This window comes from Homo sapiens, chromosome 1 (assembly GCF_000001405.40).
Source record: "Homo sapiens chromosome 1, GRCh38.p14 Primary Assembly".
NCBI lineage: Eukaryota > Metazoa > Chordata > Mammalia > Primates > Hominidae > Homo > Homo sapiens.
This window is the reverse complement of record NC_000001.11, coordinates 240,909,554-240,929,140: the sequence shown is the minus strand read 5'-3', so window position 1 is coordinate 240,929,140 and position 19,587 is coordinate 240,909,554. Positions and strand designations below refer to the sequence as shown.

The 19,587-nt window shown below is 36.8% G+C and overlaps 1 protein-coding gene and 1 pseudogene across 22 annotated transcripts in view, besides 1 other annotated feature; one reads left to right on the top strand and one right to left on the bottom strand.

The window, feature by feature from the left end:
* Positions 1-19,587, top strand: part of RGS7 (regulator of G protein signaling 7) — a 582,489-nt gene that overhangs the window by 428,090 nt on the left and 134,812 nt on the right. The gene's annotated exons all lie outside the window — the stretch shown is intronic.
* Positions 8,332-9,512, bottom strand: HNRNPA1P42 (heterogeneous nuclear ribonucleoprotein A1 pseudogene 42; annotated as a pseudogene).
* Positions 11,286-11,455: an enhancer, noted in NCBI's record as "experimental_6389 CRE fragment used in MPRA reporter constructs". NCBI's record gives its function as "activates a minimal promoter by MPRAs in K562 erythroleukemia cells, with activity observed for both the introgressed and non-introgressed 1:241081071 variant alleles {active_cell/tissue: K562}" and the evidence as "EXISTENCE:reporter gene assay evidence [ECO:0000049][PMID:34662402]".

Genomic DNA, 19,587 nt, shown 5'->3' with positions numbered 1-19,587 from the left:
AACTGTGTGACTTTAGGCGTGCAATATCTCTGAGCCTAAGTTTGCTCACTTTTCAAACAGAAATCATATTGACTTCCTAAAGTTGTTAAAATAATTCAAATTAATACAGCTAAGGAAACTAGTATTGGTCCTCTCACATACTCAATACATTGAAATTAGTGTTTTGTGCTTGTCATCATTATTGCCTGGCAGATACACTGCCTCTTTTCCCTGTTGAAAAGCAAATTCCCAGCCGGGCACAGTGGTTCACGCCTATAATCCCAGCACTTTGGGAGGCTGAGGCGGGCAGATCACCTGAGATCAAGAGTTTGAGACCAGCCTGGCCAACATGACGAAACCCCATCTCTACTAAAAATACAAAAATTAGCCAGGGTGTGGTAGGGCGTGCCTGTAATCCCAGCTTACCTGGGAGGCTGAGGCAGGAGAATCGCTTGAACCTGAGAAATGGAGGTTGCAGTCAGCCAAGATCGTGCTACTGCACTCTAGCCTGGATGACAGAGTGAGACTCCGTCTAAAAAAAAAAAAAAAAAAAAAAATTATAAAGAAAATAAAATTCCCATTCTCAGTGTTTCTTTCTGCCCATCTGTTGTGTCATCTTTCATAAATATGTTAGAGTGCTCACATTTAAAGCACATGTTTTATCATTTTATAGTAGGTTGATGTTTCAGTGGTGAGCCTGAGGAAATGTCATGGCCTACACAGCAGATCATTTACAGAACATCTCTTAAAGTAGATCGTCCCAAAATGCTGCATGTTTAAGTTTCACATTGTTCCGTGAAAGGGTCATATATGCGAAGTGTCCACCAAATACAGAAGGAGCCAAGAAACCAAAGAACAGAGCAGAAAAATCCAGTGTGTTGGAAAAGGGTGATTTATTGGGGAACTTACAGACAGAAGCGTGGTCTTGGGTGGCCACAAGAAAGGTAGGCCTTCGCACTACAACCTTCCAGACCCAGGGTTTATATATCCTGGAGGAAAAGTATATTTGCTCTGGAAGGAATGAGTGGGTGGCCGAGAGAATGCTATGGGTGTTACAGCTACGGGTAATGTATGCAACAAGATCAAGGGTTGTTGTGGAGGAAAGGTGTAACTCAGAGTAAATAAGTGTTTCTACATAGAGAGTAAATCATCAACTAGACACCTTGGAGGCATTCCCAGACTCAGGGTTAATCAGGAGCCAACATGGCAGATTAGCATCCAAGATGGAATCACTCTTGTTCCCACACATGTTACCATCCACTGGTGTCCATTTCTGAGGGGATCATCTCCTACACTTTCTCCCCAAACCTGGAATACTTGCTACTTACAGTAACTAATTTATTCTTTAATTATTATGTTTGGGTTTTTTTCCTCTGAAGAAACATATTATTGGTTGTGCTTAGCTTGCCTGAATTATATACAAGTAAATTACAATAATGTAATTATTCCATTAAGAGGATATGGGAGAAAAATGAGAGGAAGAGAATAACAATGATCTCAGACACCATACGTGTCTGTACCTGCAGGCAATGATGCTTCATTTTCTACGATTTTTCTTTTTAGGTGCAAACAAATTATAGCAGCAATATGAATTACCCAACTTTGAATTTCCTGCTGCCATTTGTTTAAAGCATACTTTTATAAAACCTCACTCCCGGCTTTTAAAGAGGATATTGATGGTGTGATGTACTTGGGCTGTGAAGTCCAAAGCACAGTAACTACTTAGGCTGTCTTTTCTAAGACAACTTTGGGGCACAGGGACTTTATTGCATAAGGCAGGTTAAAGAAGAGTTTATTGGCTGTGCGCGGTGGCTCACGCCTGTAATCCCAACACATTGGTAGGCTGAGGTGGGCGTATCACAAGGTCAAGAGATCAAGACCATCCTGGCCAACATGGTGAAACCCCGTCTCTACTAAAAATACAAAAATTAGCTGGGCATGGTGGCGCACGTCTGTAGTCCCAGCTACTTGGGAGGCCGAGTCAGGAGAATCGCTTGAACCTGGGAGGCAGAGGTTGCAGTGAGCTGAGATTGCACCACTGCACTCCAGCCTGGTGACTGAGACTCCATCTCAAAAAACAAACAAACAAAACAAAACAAAACAAAAAAAACCAGTTTATTTCATTTTGTTAGTATCCTGACCTGTTTCCATCCCCAGTTTAAACTTACCAAGTAGGTTCTGCTGAACATAAGCCTCAATAGATCAGTTGATATGAAAAACTACTTTTTCATAATTATCTTGGTTTTATAGAAAAATGGAATGTTTTGATTCTGTTCAATAACTAAGACAAGCCAATACGGACTAAAAGGCCTATATCTTTATAAACTCCATTCTTCGAAAATCAAGTTGGATAAGATTTCTGGTATTTTGTGTGCAAGTACAAAAAGCATTCTAATTCAAGCCAGTTAAAGTGGAGTCAGAAATGGGCTTTCCCAGATGTATTTGCTCATCAAGAGAGATCCAGCACTAAGGACTTGCAGTGTGGGCTCGAGACAAAGGCACAGGAAAACTCAAGAGAGCTTTGGTAAGAAGTAGAGACAGTGTCAGTTGTAGCAAACTGAAACAGAAGCCGAGGCAGGGTTTTTACTGGTACCTCTGGACACACACATTGCACACAAAGGGTCCTAGAAATGACCATTTTATACACATCACAAAACAGATACATAAACTAATGAAACAGAATTGAGAGCCCAAAAGTAAAGCCGCACATCTATAACCATATGATCTTTGGCCAAGTCAACAAAAATAAGCAATGGAGAAAGGATTCCTTATTTAATAATGATTCTGGAATAACTGGCTAGCCACATGCAGAAGAATGAAGCTGGACCGCTACCTTGTACCATATACAAAAACTAACTCAAGATCGATTAAAGATTAATATAAGACCTCAAAATATAAAAACCCTAGAAGAAAACCTAGGATATACCATTCTGGACAATGGCCTTGGTAAATAATTCATCACTAAGTCCTCAAAAGCAATTGCAAGAGAAACCAAAATTGACAAGTGGGACCTAAACTAAATAAAACTAATTAATTAAACTGAAGAGTTTCTGCACAGCAAAAGAAACTATCAACAGAATTAACAGACAACCTAGAGGATGGCAGAAAATATTTGCAAACTATGCATCTGACAAAGGTCTAATATCAAAAATCTATAAGGAACTTAAACAATACAACAAGCAAGAAACAATCCCGTTAAAAAGTGGGCAAGGGACATGAGCAGACACTTCTCAAAAAAAGACATACAAGCAGCCAGCAAACATACAAGAAAATGCTCAACATTACAGATCATCAGAGAACTGTAAATCAAAGCCACAATGATATACGATCTCACACCAGTCAGAATGGCTGTTACTAAAAAATCAATAAATAACAAATTCTGACAAGGCTATGGAGAAAACAGAATGTTTATACTCTGTTGGTGGGAATGTAAATTAGTTCAGTCATTGTGGAAAGTTGTCTGGAGATTTCTCAAAGAACTAAAACTAGAACTATATTCATCCCAGCAATCCCATTACTGGATATATATTCAAAGGAAAATAAATTATTCTACCAGAAAGACATGTGCACTTATGTGTTCATCACAGCGATATTCACAACAGCGAAGACATGAAATCAACATAGGTGCCCATCAATAGTGTACTGGATAAAGAAAATGTAATATATATACACCGTGGAATACTACACAGCCATGAAAAAGAATAAAAGTATGTCCTTTGCAGCAACATGGATACAGCTGGAGGCTGTTATCCCAAGCAAATTAACACAGGAAAAGAAAACCAAATACCACATGTTCTCACTTATAAGAGGGAGCTAAACATTGGGTATACATGGGCATAAAGATGAGAACAATAGACGCTGGCAGGTACTGGTGGGGGGAATGATGGAGGGGTGCAAGGGCTGAAAAAGTACCTACTAGGGACTATGCTCACTACCTGGGTGTTGGGATCAGTCATACCCCAAAGCTCAGTATCATGCAATATACCCATGTAACAAACCTGCACATGTACCCCCTGAATCTAAACTAAAAATTAAAATTATTATTGAAAAAAAGAAATGAGTACAAATGGAACAATGTCTTTAGGCTGGCTCCTTTCAAGGGTTGAATCTCTAATATCCAAATAGGATTTTAACTCCAAGAAATTGAAATGTCCAAAAAAGACAGGAGCCTCCCCTGTACTTACTTGTATGACTCATCTCACCCATCACACCCAAATCCTTGTCCATTTGAACTTTTTGCATTAATTTTTATTTTTTTCAAATACTGCACTAAAATATTATTTTGATTAATGTTATTTTTGCAAATATTGCATTAAAATATTATTTATTTTGATTACCGAGTTTTTTGACACTCCCTTAGATTTTGCACCTGAGGTGACTGCATCACTCACGCCATCCTAGTGGTAATACAATTAATATTACATTTGGTTCTTGGGCTATCTTAAAAGACCTTAATTACAATGTAGATTTTGTCAAGATCATGGTAACCACATTAATTTTTGAATTGGATTAAATTTTGAATTTGAAGGACAAGGAATATTTAGCCAGAAAAAATACATATTTAGTATGGAAGGGAGAGATGTGTGTGGGAGAGATACAGACTTTCTGGTGTGTATGGCAAAACCAACATATGACAGTTGCAGAAGGAAAAATTTGTTCCCCACATAAGAACCTCCCAATTTAAACAATTAAAGTTGTTCAAAACATCGCATTATCTTGTAGGGTGATGATTTATGCCTCAGTAAATGTTCAATGGAAGGCCTGTCTTTTCTCCAGTATGTTGTGAAGGTTTTCAGACCCATGGAGAAAGACTGTAGCTAGTGCTCCCAAACAACTAGACAAGATGAAGTTCCACTTGCCAAAACCATACTAAAGTAATAATAAAAGGATGTTGAGAATCAATACATCTTTCATACATGATAATAAGAGGCCAGCAAAAAGAAAGTATTCTAGTTGGCCAACCACAGCAATTGTAGGCTGACATAAAATAATTATAGCAGATTTGAGATAAATAGTAATTTTTCCTTCAGGGACAGATTTTAAGTTGGTCAGTTACCATTGGTAGAAAGCTTGCCATATCCAAAGTTTTGTTTTGGGGAAGAGATGACAAGGGATTTATGACCAACTAAAGAGATCAAATACATGGTGAACTAATTTAAAAGAATTTTGAAATAAACACATAAAACCAAATTAATAGCCTATATGACTTTAGAACTGTGTCTTGAACCTTGAATAGCTGATAAAATAACAGTGCCTTAAATATCTGCATAATCCATTAATAATTCCATTATCTATAATATTAGAAAACTGAGAATTTAAGATATTGGGGAAAGTGAAAGAAATTCATTTTTCTAAAAGTAGACATTATTTATTTCTTTATCTAAAACATTGCAGTGCTTTCAAATATATCCATTCCGTTAAGACAAATTGTGTGTGTTTTTTTTTTTTCATCTGGATTCCATTTGGCATTTAATTTACACAGTTGCTTGTTTTATAAGAGCTGTAAGAGGGCCTCTACAGTTCTATTTTATTGTCCTCTGAAGAACTTTCCAAGCCTTTGTCATTCACTTTTAATGAATCCATCCCTGCATGTCTGTTTTTGAAGCCAGGTGTTAGTGGCTCCTAAAATCATGTTCTAGGGAGCAGAGTTTTAAAAATTAATGGACTTCATTTTTTTCAGAGAATCTCAAAGTTTACAGAAAATTAAACAAAATATGCAGAGAGTTCCAACAAAATGCCTCAGTACCACCTATACGTTCCCCTATAATTAAAAACTTACCATAATATAGTATGTTTGTTACAATTAATGAGCCAAGATTAATACATAATTGTTAACAAAAGTCCATAGTTTATATTAGGGTTAATTCTTTGTGTTATACATTCTGTGGGTTTTCAGAAATGTATAACATTTATCCACCATTTAGTTTCACTGCCCTAAAGATTCTCTGTGTTCTGCCTATTTATCCATACCCCTACCCTAACCCCTGGCACACACTTATCTTTTCACTGTCTCCATAGTTTTACCTTTTACAGAATGTCATAGGGTTGGAATTACACAGTGTAGAGCCTTTTCTTCTTTCACTTAACAAGATTTGTTATAGTTTCTCCATGTCTTTGCATGGCAGGATATTTCATTGCTTTTTATCACTGAATATTCCATTTTATGAATATACCATAGTTTATCCAGTCACCCATTGAAGAACATCTTAATCAATTCCACATATGGCAATTACGAGTTGAGCTGCTATAAACCTTCATGTACAGAATTTTTTTGAAGACATAAGTTTCCAATTCATTTGAGCAAATACCTAGGAAAGTGGATCATATGGTAAGAGTATATTTAGCTTTGTAAGAAACTTCCAGTCTTCCAAAGTGGCTACACTATTTTGCATTCCCACCAGCAATGAATGCAAGTTCCTGTTGCTCCACATCCTTACCAGCATTTAGTGTTTTCAATGTTTTGGATTTTAGTCATTTAATAGATGTGGTATCTCATTGTTTTTTAAATTTACAGTTCTCTAATAACATATGATATTGAGCACCTCTTCACATGCATATTTGCCAAGTGTTCGTCTTCTTTGTTGAGTTTTCTGTTCAGATATTATATTTTGCCGATTTTTTAATTGTGTTGTTTTCTTATTGTTGAATTGTAAGAGTTCCTTGTATATTGTGGATACCAGTGCTTTATCAGATACGTTTTGCAAAGATTTTCCCCCAGTCTGTAGTTTGTCTTTCAGTGTCTTAATGGTGTATTTAAAAGAATCAAAGTTTTAAATTTTAATAAATTCCAACTTACAATTTTTTCTCATAGATTGTGCTTTTGATGTTGTGTCTAAAAAGTCATTGCCAAACTCAAGGTCACCTAGATTTTCTCCTATGTTATATTCTAAAGGTTTTATAGTTTTACAGTTTATTTTTAGTTGTATAATTTATTTTAAGTTAATTTTTGTGAAATTAGTAAAATCTGGAGTCTATATTTATTTTTTTTGCATGTAGAGGTCTAGTTGTTCCAGCACCATTTTTTGAAAATAGGATCTTCTCTCCATTCGATTACCTTTTCTACCTTGTCTAAGTCTCTTCCTGAAATCTCTATTCTTTTTCCTTGATTTATTTTTTTTCTTCTTTTGCCAATACCACACTGCCTCGATTACTATAGGTTTATAGTAAGTTTTGAAGTTTGGTAGTGTCAACTCTCTGTCATTGCATTCCTTCAGTATTGTGTTGTGTAATTTGGGTCTTTTGCTTTCCACTTCAACTTTGGAATCGGTTTGTCAATATCCTCAAAGTATGCTAGGATTTATATGGAGATTGCATTGAATTCACAGGTCAAGTTGGAAAGAACTCACATCTTAATAATATTGAGTCTTCTTATCCACATATTTGGTATGTCTTTCCATTGATTTTGATCTTTGATTTCTTTTAAAAGAATTTTGTACTCTTATTAATATATATCTTCTATATACTTTGTTAGATGTATGCCTAAGTTTTGCTGCTTACATAAATAGTATTGTGTTTTGAAATTCATATTTCAATTTTTCATTGCTGGTACATAGGAAAACCGCTGACTTTTTTTGTACCCTGCAACTTTGCTATGATCACTTAGTTCTAAGAGTTTTTGTTGTTGTTGTTTCTTTGAGATTGTCTACCTAGACAAACATGTCTTCCTGAACAAAGATTTATTTCATCCTTATCAAACTATATACCCTTTTTTTCTTTTTCTTGTCTTATTCCATTACCTAGGACTCCAGTACAATGGCAAATAGGAGTAGCGAGAGGGGACATTCTTGCATTTTTCCTTATTTTAGTGGGAAAGCATCTAGTTTTTTTTTTCTTCAAGAGAATTAAATCATTTATTGATTACACATGATAATAGATGTTACACAATCTTCATTCCCATCTATAGTTTTTTCTGGTACCATTATTCAATTTAGTATATTGCATAAGATGTGCCAACACTCATTTTTATAACCAATAATTTTATGATTTTGCTTGGCTATTTCCTTTTAATGGTGAACTTCAGGTCACAACAGTAACTATCAGTTCAACTATAGCAAGGTTTCTGAAGACAACGGCTTCTCCACCCAAGCAGGTTGTGTATAAATTCCAAATAGAACCTGGCATCACCCTGAAGGAATTCTAACTTCCCACTGTTGGGGGAAATTTACCAAGATGGCTTCAGAGCAGACTAACTTTATACAGTACATTAAAAAAAAAAGACATTTATTCAGCATCACAATCAAACTATTACATTTAGCAATCAACAGCATGGGTGAAAAAAAAAAATCTACATTAAGACCCTTTGTTGGAATGCTTGGAATGCTTTACACTTTCCACAGAACAGAAACTAAAATAACCTGTCATACAATTAGTCACAAATACAGTCCTCAAGTTTTTTGCCCATACACGTGAGTATTTGTCTAAAACATGTCTTCTTTGTAGCAGCTAGGCCCTGCCACCACTGTGCTTGGCTGAGTTCACAAATCTGTGGTAACCTGTAGCTTCCCTGTCACTTCTCTGGCTCTCCTCTTCCGCTAAGCTTTGTTTCCTAATTAAAATCTTCTGCCACTGCCGTAGCTACTGCTGTTACTGCAACCACCATAGCCACCTTAGTTTCATGGTTTGACAAAGTATTGGCCTCCATCACCATAGAGGCCAGAGCTTCTGCCTCCAAAGTTTCCTCGCTTCATGGGTCCAAAATGTGAAGATTGATTGTTGTAATTGCCAAAATCATTGTAGCTTCCACCACCTCCAAAATTGCTGGCATCATTACCAAATCCATTATAGCCATCCCCACTGCCACCATATCCACCACCACAACAGCTGCCACCAAAGCCACCATGACCACTGAAGTTTCCTCCACGACCAAAGTTGTCATTCCCACCAAAACCACCACCACGATCACCACCAAAGTTTCCAGAACCACTTCGACCTCTTTGGCTGCATGAAGCACTAGCTATCTCTTGCTTTGACAGGGCTTTCCTAACTTCACAGTTGTGGCCATTCACAGTGTGGTATTTCTGAATGACCGTCTTATCCACGGAGTCATAGTCATCAAAGATTACAAAGGCAAAGCCTCTTTTCTTGCCATTGCCTCAATCAGTCATGATTTCAATCCCTTCAATTTTTCCAAACTGTTCAAAATAATCTCTTAGGTGATGTTCTTCTGTGTCTTCTTTAATGCCACCAACAAATATGTTTTTCACAGTTAAGTGGGCACCTGGTCTTTGAGAATCTTCTCTTGAGACAGCTCTCTTTGGTTCCACAACTCTCCCATCCACCTTGTGTGGCCTTCCATTCATGGCCACATCCCCATTCTCCACAGTGGCCTATGTGACAAACCCAAAGCCCATGGAGCTCTTGATGTTTGAATCTCTCATTACCACACAGTCCATGAGCATTCCCCATTGCTGAAAATGGCCCCTCAGGCTCTCACCTTGTTTCAAAGCTCAGCCCTCCAATGAAGAGCTTCCTCAGCTGTTCGGTTCTTTAGGAGACTCTGACTTAGGCATGAGGGCAGGGAGAAGAGAGACTTTTCATTTGTACTATATTAGCTGTAGGTTTTTTGTAGGCATTTTTTTTTATCAAGTTGGGAGCATTCCTCTATATTTCTAGTTTGCTAAGGGTTTTTATCATGACTGGTGCTAGATTTTGGCAAATGATTTCTCTGCATGTATTGATATGATTGCATGATTTTTCTTTAGCCTGTTGATGTGATGGGTTACATTAATTAATGTATAAATTGTCAACCATTCTTGCATATATGGAATAAATATCACCTGGTCATGATGTATAATATTTTATACATTGTTGGATATAATATGCTAATATTTTGTTGGTGGTTTTTGCATCTATGTTTATGAGAAGTATTGGTCTGTAGTCTTCCTTTTTGGTAATTTTTTAATGACTTTGGTATTAGAGTAATGCTGGCCTTGTAGAATTAGTTAGAAAATATTCCTCTGCTTCTATTTTCTGGAAGAGATTGTACGGAGTATTATTTCTTCCTCAAATGTTTGGTAGAATTCCCCAGTGAAGTTATCTGGGCTTGGTGGCTTTCTGTTTTGGTAAGTTGTTATTGTTGATTCAATTTCTTCAATAAGTATAAGCCTATTTAGATTATCTATTTCTCCTAGTGTGAGTTTCAGTAGATTGTATCTTTCAAAAACTTGGTTCAAATTTTTGAACCAAAAATTTGTTATCAAATTTGTGGGGTTGAGTTGTTCATAATATTCTTTTACTATTTTTAGGATAAAGGGGATCAGCAGTGATGGCCTCCTTTTCAGTTATTATACCAGTAATTGGTGTCTTCTTTTTTTTTTCTTAATTAGCCTGGCTAGAGGCTCATCAATATTAATTGTTTTAAGCACCCAGATTTTGGTTTCGTTGAATTTCTCTATTGATTTTCAATTTTATTGATTTCTGCTCTGATTTTTATTATTTGTTTTCTTCTGTTTGGCTTAGATTTAATTTGCTTTTGTTCTTCTAGTTTTCTAAGATGGGAATTTAGATTATTGATTTTAGATCTTTCTTTATTCTAATATATGCATTCAACTTCCTTCTAGGCACTGCTTTCACTACATCCTGTGAATTTTGATAACATGTATTTTCATTTTCATTTAGCTTGAAATACTTTAAAATTTCTCCCGAGACTTCTTCTTTGGCCCGTGTGTTGTTTAGAAGTGTACTGTTTAATTTTTAGGTACTTTGAGATTTTCCAGCTTCTTTCTGTTGTTGATTTCTAGTTTAATTCTATTGTTTGAGATCATACTTTGAAAGACTTCTATTCTTTTACATTTTTAAGGTGTGTCTTATGACCTAGAATGTGGTCTATCTTGGTGCATGTCATGAGAACTTGAGATGACTATAGATTCTGTTGCTGTTGCATTAATTATTCTATAAATGGCCATTAAATTCAGCTGATTGATGGTGCTGCTTAGTTTGATTCTGTCCTTCCTGATTTTCTGCCTGCTAGATCTGTCAACCACAGATATATGTGTGTGGAAGCCTCCAGTGATAGTAATTGTTCATCCATTTCTCTTTGTAATCTGTCAGTTTTTACCTCAAGTATTTTGATGCTCTGTCGTTAAGCACATACACATTAAGGTTGTTATGTCTTTGTGGAGAATTGAACCTTCTGTTGTTATGCAATAAAAGAAATTTATCCCTGAAAAATGTTTTTTCTAGAGTCTTTGTCTGAAATTAATTTATCTAATTTAGCTTTATTTTGATTAGTTTTAGCATGGCATATCTTTCCTCATCCTTTAACTTTTAATCTGTGTCTTTGTATTTAAAGCAAGTTTCTTCTAAACAGAATATAGTTGGTTCTGTTTTATATCCACTCTGATAGTCCCTGTCTTTTACTTGATGTATATCATTCACATTTAAAGTGGTTATTAATATTGTTGGTTTAATATCTATAACTGTTACATTAATGTTTATAACTGTTTTATATTAGTTTCCTTTTGTCTTCCTGTCTCTTTCTGCCTTCTCTGATTTTAAATGAACATTTTATATAATTCTGTTTTCCCTTTTTGCCCAGTATCAATTATAATTCCTTTTAAATGTCTTACAGTTTTTCTAGAGTTAGCAATATACATTTACAACGAATCCAAGTCCATTTTTAGGTAACACTGTACACTTAACATGTAATGCAACTATCCCATAACAGAGTATTCCTACTTTCTCCTTCTTATCTCTTATAATATTGCTGTCATTCCTTTCCTTTAGGCTATAACCACCAATTGCATTGTTGCTGGTATCATTTTGAACACTTTTTTATCCATCAGATCAATTAAGAAACTTTCTATAAAGAGATTTTGTTTGACGTACATTTACTCCTTCTCTAATAGTCTTCCTTTCTTTATGTAGTTTCAACCTATATCATTCTCCCTTTTTCTGAAGAACTGTTTTTAAACATTCTTTTCAAGGCAGGTCTTTTGTCAACAAATTCTCTCAGTTTTTGTTTTTCTAAGAAAGTCTTTGTTTTTCCTTCACTTTTGATAATTCCACAAGATACAGAATTCTAGGTTAATGGGTTTTTTCTTTAGAGACTTTAAATCTATCACCCCACTCTCTTCTTGCTTGCATGGTTTCTGATGAGAAATTCAAAGCAGTTATTTTATTTTTTCTCTCCAGGTAAGGTTTCCCTCATCCCATCCACCCTCGCTCCTTTCAAAATTTCTCTTCATGTTTGGTTCTCTGAAGTCAAAATGTGATATGTCTGTGGTTGCTCTGATAGTTATTGTGCTTGGTGTTGTTTGAGTTTCCTTGTTGTGTGGCTTGGTGGATTCCTTTACTAGAGCCACCATAACAAAATATAACAGACTGTATGGCTTAGACAATAGAAATTTATTATCTCATCAATAAATATGAGGGTAGAAGTGCTCTGGCTACTGGAAGTCCAAGAACAAGGTGCTGGCAGGATTGATTTCTCTTGAGGCTCTCTCCTTGGCTTTCAGAAGGCCACCTTCCCGTGTCCTCACATGGCCTTTTCCCTGTATAGGCCCATCTCCTGAGTCTCTTCCTCTTAGAACAACACCAGTCATATTGGATTGGGACCTCACCCTTATGATCTCATGTGACCTTCATTACCTCTTTAATGGCTTTATCTCTAAATACAGCCACATTCTGAGGTTACTGGGAGTTAGGGCTTTGACATAAGTTGAGGCTGGGGGAACAGGAGGACATAATTAAGCTCATAACAATATCTGTCATTAACTTGGGGAAAATCTCAGTTATTATTGCTTCAAATATGTCTTCTGTTCTTTTCTTTCTTCTCTGATTTTCCCATTACATGTATGTTATGCCTTTTATATTATAATTACCCCCACAGTTTTTAGACATTCTGTTCTGTCCTCTCTTTCTCTCTCTATTTTTTTTTTTTTTTTTTTGACAGTGTCTCACTCTGTCACCCAGGCTGAAGTGCAATGGCATGATCTTGGCTCACTGCAACCTCTGCCTCCTGAGTTCAAGCAATTCTCATGCTCAGCCTCCTTAATAGCTGGCATTACAAGCATGAGCCACCATGTGCTAATTTTTTTTTTTTTTTTTTTTTTGGTATTTTTAGTAGACACAGGGTTTCACCATGTTGGCCAGGCTGGTCTTGAACTCCTGGCCTCAAGTGATCAGACTGCCTTGGCCTCCCAAAGTGCTGGGATTACAGCATGAGCCACTGCGCCTGACATTTCCTGTCTTTTTTATACTTTTTTTTCTCTTTGTATTTCAGTTTGGAGGTTTCTTTTGACACATGTCCAAACTCTACTGATTCTTTCCTCAATCATGTCCAGTCTATTGATGAACTAATTTTTCATTCTTCATTTCTATTATGTTTTTTATTTCTTGAATTTCATCATAGTTCCTTTTAATTTCATACCTGATGATTCCCATATATTTTCCATATTTAGTCTGGTTCTCATGCTTGCTCTGACTCTTCAAACTGTGTTTTTTGTCTTTTAGTGTGCCTTGGAATTTTTTTTGTTGTTGACAGTAGGATGTGATGTACTAAATAAATGAGGCATACAGGCCATTACTGTGAGGTTTTATGTTTATCTGGCTAGTAATTGAGCTGTGTTTACTGTTTGCTGTAGCTAGAGGCTTTAGAGGCTAACATCTCCTCTGATGTCCTTGTTTTTATTCCCCGCTGTTGTCTTTGGGTTTTCCTAGAAACTTCTTCTTAAATAAGGCATGGGTCATACAGTTCTTTCCGTTGCGTTCATCTGTTATTATACAGGAGCCCTACTGGTATTGTGGTAAGGTGCAGGGGAAGGGGGATGCTTTGTATAATCTGATGATTAGGACCCAGTCCCACAGTGAGCCTCTACCCCTGGGCCATGATCTCCACATGTGCTCCTTGGGTTTTGGGGGTTTTTCCTCTTTAGGTGCAATGGGAAGGATAGAGGGGCTGGAGTTGGATATTTCCCTACTCCCCGGTGGTTTAGGCTCTGCTATAATCTCAGTCTGTTGGGCTCTGGGTAATACAGTTTCTTTTGAGACAGGCCATAAGAAGAACAGAGTGACCTGGGTGTATTTCGGAATGGTTACTTTTTCCCTGTTCCTTGTTGGAAGCATTAGGAAATTTCTCCCTGACCCTCATTGTGCAAACCTAGTAGGGCTCCTGGAAGTAAAAGTCACAAATGTGTGGTAGCCCCCTTAAAACTGCTCCCTGATCCTCAAAGGAGTTTTTAATGCTCAAATTAATCCACATTGAGCCTCGAACAACTAATCAGTTGCAGTTTAAGTTTTTCTATCCCAATGTTGGTTTTCCCAAAGGTTTCTGTTACTCTAGGTCATGATTCTCTGTACATTTCTGTCTTTGTCTCCAATCATGGGGTCAATGGTTTGCCCTCTGACATCAATCCTCTGAGGGATTTCAGAGGAATTGTTGGTTTTTACTTCTTCAGCTTTTTTTTTCTTTGTGAGATTGGATGGGAGGGATGACTTCCAAGCTCCTTAAATGCCAGAGCAGACTCCAGAGAGCAGATGTTTGCAAGGGAAAGAAGGATAAACAAAGCATGACTATGTTGTTTTTATTTATTTATTTTGTTTCTGCTTTTCGTTCTTTTTTACACCCTCTTCAGTATTTCTACATGGAATAGGCTCTGAGTCAACCTCTGAGAGTAATGGGATACTTAAAGTTGGTTGTTTCTTCTCCATGAGTTCTCCCTTTCCAATGAGCTTTGGAAAGTATCTGAAATCCAGCCATTAGTGTCATGGAAAATGTCTCTTTTGGGGTAATTATTTTCCACCTTGGTTTCCCTTTAGCTTTGGAGCTGCTGTGAAACAGAAAAGGAGAGAAACCTGGCACTCTCAATTGGCAGGGCATGAATAAAAGGAGAGAGAAATAAAATAAGATTGTATTTATCTAAGCAGAATGCTAATAAGACTTGCATGTTTTTAAACTTTATACATTTTCTACCATCAACCTGTAAAGAACAAAATTAGCATGTTAATGTTCCAATGTTTGTTCTCAAAGCTATCATAATCGATGAGTGTTTCTAAATTGATGTGCCCTGGAACAAGATCAGAGATAGATCCAGGAAGAAAAATAAAACATTACATCTTACCAGGAATATCTCATCATCATTCTGTTGTGGGGTGGGGGGAGGGGGGAGGGATAGCATTGGGAGATATACCTAATGCTAGATGACGAGTTAATGGGTGCAGCGCACCAGCATGGCACATGTATACATATGTAACTAACCTGCACAATGTGCACATGTACCCTAAAACTTAAAGTATAATAATAATAAAAAAAAGAAAATTAAAAAAACAAAAAAAACAAAAGGAAGAATTTTGAAGAATGAATAAACATAGATAAAATAACATTTTTCTTATTGTTAATTTAACAGATAACAGTTTGTTCAAAATAAAAAAAAAACAAAATTACAGATGCTCTGGGATAACTGCAATTTTAAAGCACAAAATAAGCAACATTAAAAATATCCACTGATTCAGCCAAATTGCAGTAGTGTAGCCTCCTAATTTGTGGAAGTGATGGACTTTCATATAACTTCCTTAATAAAAAGGAAGTTTTTTCGTTTTAGCAAAAACAAAAAACAACAAAACCCATTTTAGCAAAAACGAACAACAACAAAACCCATTTACCTAATACGACAGTGAGAACCAACTCATTGTGTAAGATTATTTATTAAAAGGAACTAAAACATTTAAGGCATCTTAAAAATGAAAATTATGGCCGAAAGTATTCTACTCCTTTCGAAAATATTCCAAGTTTTTGTCATTTCAAAACACAAAACTTCCTGATCAAATGTGTAAGTCATTAAAAGGTCTGGCTTTTACCTTATATATACAAGGACTAAAACATCTGATTTACTCTCTTACCCAGATTTTTACATGTAGGTATGCATGTATATGAATAATGCTCGTGCATATAAATGTACTGTATGCATACTTACATCATGCATACATACAAAATAAAAACAATTATTCACATGGAGATTAAAATATTCTGAAACATGGTATCTGTAAAATAAAATTAAAACCATATTAATATGTTTGGGATGTATCCCTGGTTTATAATCTCAATCTCTAGAAATGCTCTCTGTTGTACTAAAAATAGCTTCACATATTAACTGAGCCACCAGCTTGGAAGTGTTTTGCTGGTTGTGTCTCCGAATGCTGAAGCGAGCCTGCTGAGATTAATTCCTACCGACCTGTGCTACTGGTTTTCCAGTTTGGCTCCTTCCTCCCTGTAAGTATGCAGGCTTGTAGTCTTTTCATCTAAACCCATCAGCAGAGATATGAAAAGAGAAATAGAAAATGTTTGGTAGCAACAGATGTTCAAACATGCCTAATTAGTGTCTGTTTTATTTCGTGTCTTTACATTATTACTCATGTAGTATACAGGAAAAAAATTCCATTAATGAAAACAGAATATGCAAATGTAAATATATATATTTATTTATATATTAAAAATTATGTGTTTGTGTTGGGAGTGAGGAAGGAATGATTGCTTTATGTAAGAAGCCCAGAATTGGAAGCCTTGAAATTCATTACAATTTGAACTCAGCAAAAGAAGCAATGTGCTTCTCAAGAAGGAACTAGTTCTGAAGCCTTTACAAGTCTTTAGAATATTTTGAGGATTGACCATCCCTCAAGTGCATTATATTTCACTATTTCTTGAAGTGTGGCCCTGACTTGCCTGTGACAATTGGAATGATTTTGAAGTAAAGATTACTGACCTCTTTCCCAACCAATTAAATCTGGGCTGTAGCTCAAGCATTGACATTATTAATAAGCTCTTTCAGATGTACATTAAAGTGTAAAAACTATTTATATTTAGTTTACTGGGACAAATTAATTTGATATTTGCATTTCTGGTGGCTTGTACTTTTTGTCTCATTTTAAATGTTACTCCTGCTTGTCCAACTACATTTTAAATAATAGCATATCAGAAATTGGAATAACACTTACCAGCTTACATCACACCTTTACATACATTATCTGATTTAATCCCTCACAGAAAATCTTTTTTTTTTTTTTTTTTTTTTTTTTTGAGACAGAATCTCGCTGTGTCGCCCAGGCTGGAGTGCAGTGGCACGATCTCAGCTCACTGCAAGCTCCGCCTCATGGGTTCACGCCATTCTCTTGCCTCACCCTCCCGAGTAGCTGGAACTACAGGCCCCTGCCACTTCGCCTGGCTAATTTTTTTTTTTTTTTGGTATTTTTAGTAGAGACCAGGTTTCACCGTGTTAGCCAGGATAGTCTCCATCTCCTAACCTCATGATCCGCCCACCTCAGCCTCCCAAAGTGCTGGGATTACAGGCGTGAGCCACTGCGCCCGGCCAGAAAATCTTTAAAGTACAGTAAGCCATACTCTACAAGTGAAAAATCACAGTCAGATAGATAGAGGACCTGCCCTATGACTAAAAACAATTGAGCTGGGATTGGAACCCAAGGTTTCTGACTGGGTTTTATGCTTTTCTCACACCATCAGACTTGCCTTAAATTCATGGTCCACTGGGCATGAGTGTTTTTCAGTTGGATTTCCATACCGTTGTTGTGTTTACAAGACTTACAGATAGCTGGATGTTTAGCTATAGGCACCCAGTATGCAGTGGCTATCCAATTCTAAAGTAAAGACAAGAGATTGGTGTTGGACAGAAAGATTTTTGAATCACTAGAGTCAGGTTATAGTTAAAGCCATGGTCGTGGATGAGATCATTCAGAGAGGACATGTAGACTAAGACAAAAAGAGGGCCCAAGTTGGAACCTAGAGAACATTAACATTTAAGAAGAAATCACCAGAAGAAGAATCAAGAGAGAAAATGAGAGATGTAGGGAGATCAGATTTCAGGGAGAGGATGAGAGGTGAAGAAGCAAAGGCAGCAGTAACCTTGGACTGCTTTCCCAAATATTTGGCAATGAAATGAGAGAAAGAGATGGATGGATGGATGAATAGATAAGGGGAAAAAGACAGAGAAAGAACCTCCCTGCAAGATGTAAATGATGCTGAGTCAGTGGTATGGTGTTCAATATGGAAGGGAGTTGGATTTATTTGGGAATTAAAGGGAAGCTTCAATGAAAGGAGAGAGATTGAGAGAGAGAAAGACAATAAATGCGTCTGGCACAGATGTTTAGCTTTTGCCCAGAATATAGTAGGAATGAACTAGAGAATTCTTTAAAAAAAATTTTTTTTTAATTGGCCAGGTATGATGGCTCAGGCCTGTAATCCCAGCACTTTGGGAGGCCGAGGCAGGTGGATCATTGCCTGGCCTGACCAACATGGAGAAACCCCATCTCTACTAAAAATAAAAAAAATTAGTTGGGCGTTGTGGCACACACCTTTAATTCCAGGAACTTGGGAGGCTGAGGCATGAGAATCCCCTTGAACCTGGGAGGCGGAGGTTGCAGTGAGCTGAGATGACACCACTGCACTCCAGCCTGGGCCACAGAGTGAGACTCTGTCTCAAAAAAAAATTAATTGACACATAATAGTTGTATGTATTTATAGGGTACATAGTGATGTTGCAATACATATAATATACGGTGATTAGATCAGGGTAATTAGCATATTCATTATCTCAAACACTATTATTTCTTTGTGCTGGGAACATTCAGTATCCTCTTTCTAGCTCTTTGAAACCATGCATTATTGTTAACTATAGTCATGTTACAGTGCTACAGAACACTAGAATTTATTCCTCCTCTCTAGCTCTAAATTTCTATCCTTTAACCAATTTCTCCCTAACCCCTCTTCCTCCTGCCTATCCCAGCCTCTAGTTTCCTCTGTTCTACTTTTTGCTTCTGTAAGATCAACTATTTTTTAGCTTCCACATATGAATGAGCACATGCGTTATTTAACTTTCTGTTTCTGGCTTATTTCACCTACCGTAATGTCTTCCGGTTTCAAGGGCCAAACGCCCCACATTTATTTACATACAAACCGTGTTCCACAGAACTTTGATGGTTGGAGTACATCACACCTGACAGCTCCAAGACCTTTTGAGGAACCGAAACTTGATGACAGTATATCATGCAAGTATCTATATATACACAAAAGAATTTCTTTCCTTAAAAAAATGTTCGAAATATGTTCAGGGATAAATACAAGATATAAAAACACGAAAGCAAGCACAAAACAAAAGCAAATATCAGAACTTTCCCAAAGAACCACAAACAGAAGGGACAGAAGGGACAGAAGAGCACGTCTGCTGCACTTTAATAAAGCAGGGCTACCAATGCTAAATACACTTATGGAAGTGACCGAACTAAACCCAGGTGGCTCGGTGTTTAATTTAATGGCCAGTTGCAATACACAGGTGGCTGCACTGATAAGTCAGTGGTTGAAGCTGTGCATCCCGACTTCAAGTACTAGAACATTTGCCAGTAGCACCCAGAACAGGAAAGCCTCAGTTCCTTAGACAGCAAAAGGTTAAGTCAACTGTGTCAAGAGCCAGAGAAATACTTGATATTCTTAAATGCATTTGTGTCATAGTTAATAAATTACATGACAAAAAGCTGACTATATAGATCTATTGGCCTACTACTTCTGTCGTAGTCCAGCCCTTTCATAACTGTATCTCCTTGTGCTCTGTAAGCCAGCCTTGCAAATGGAACCATAGTTTTCCATCCATGCTAGCATTTAGAGCT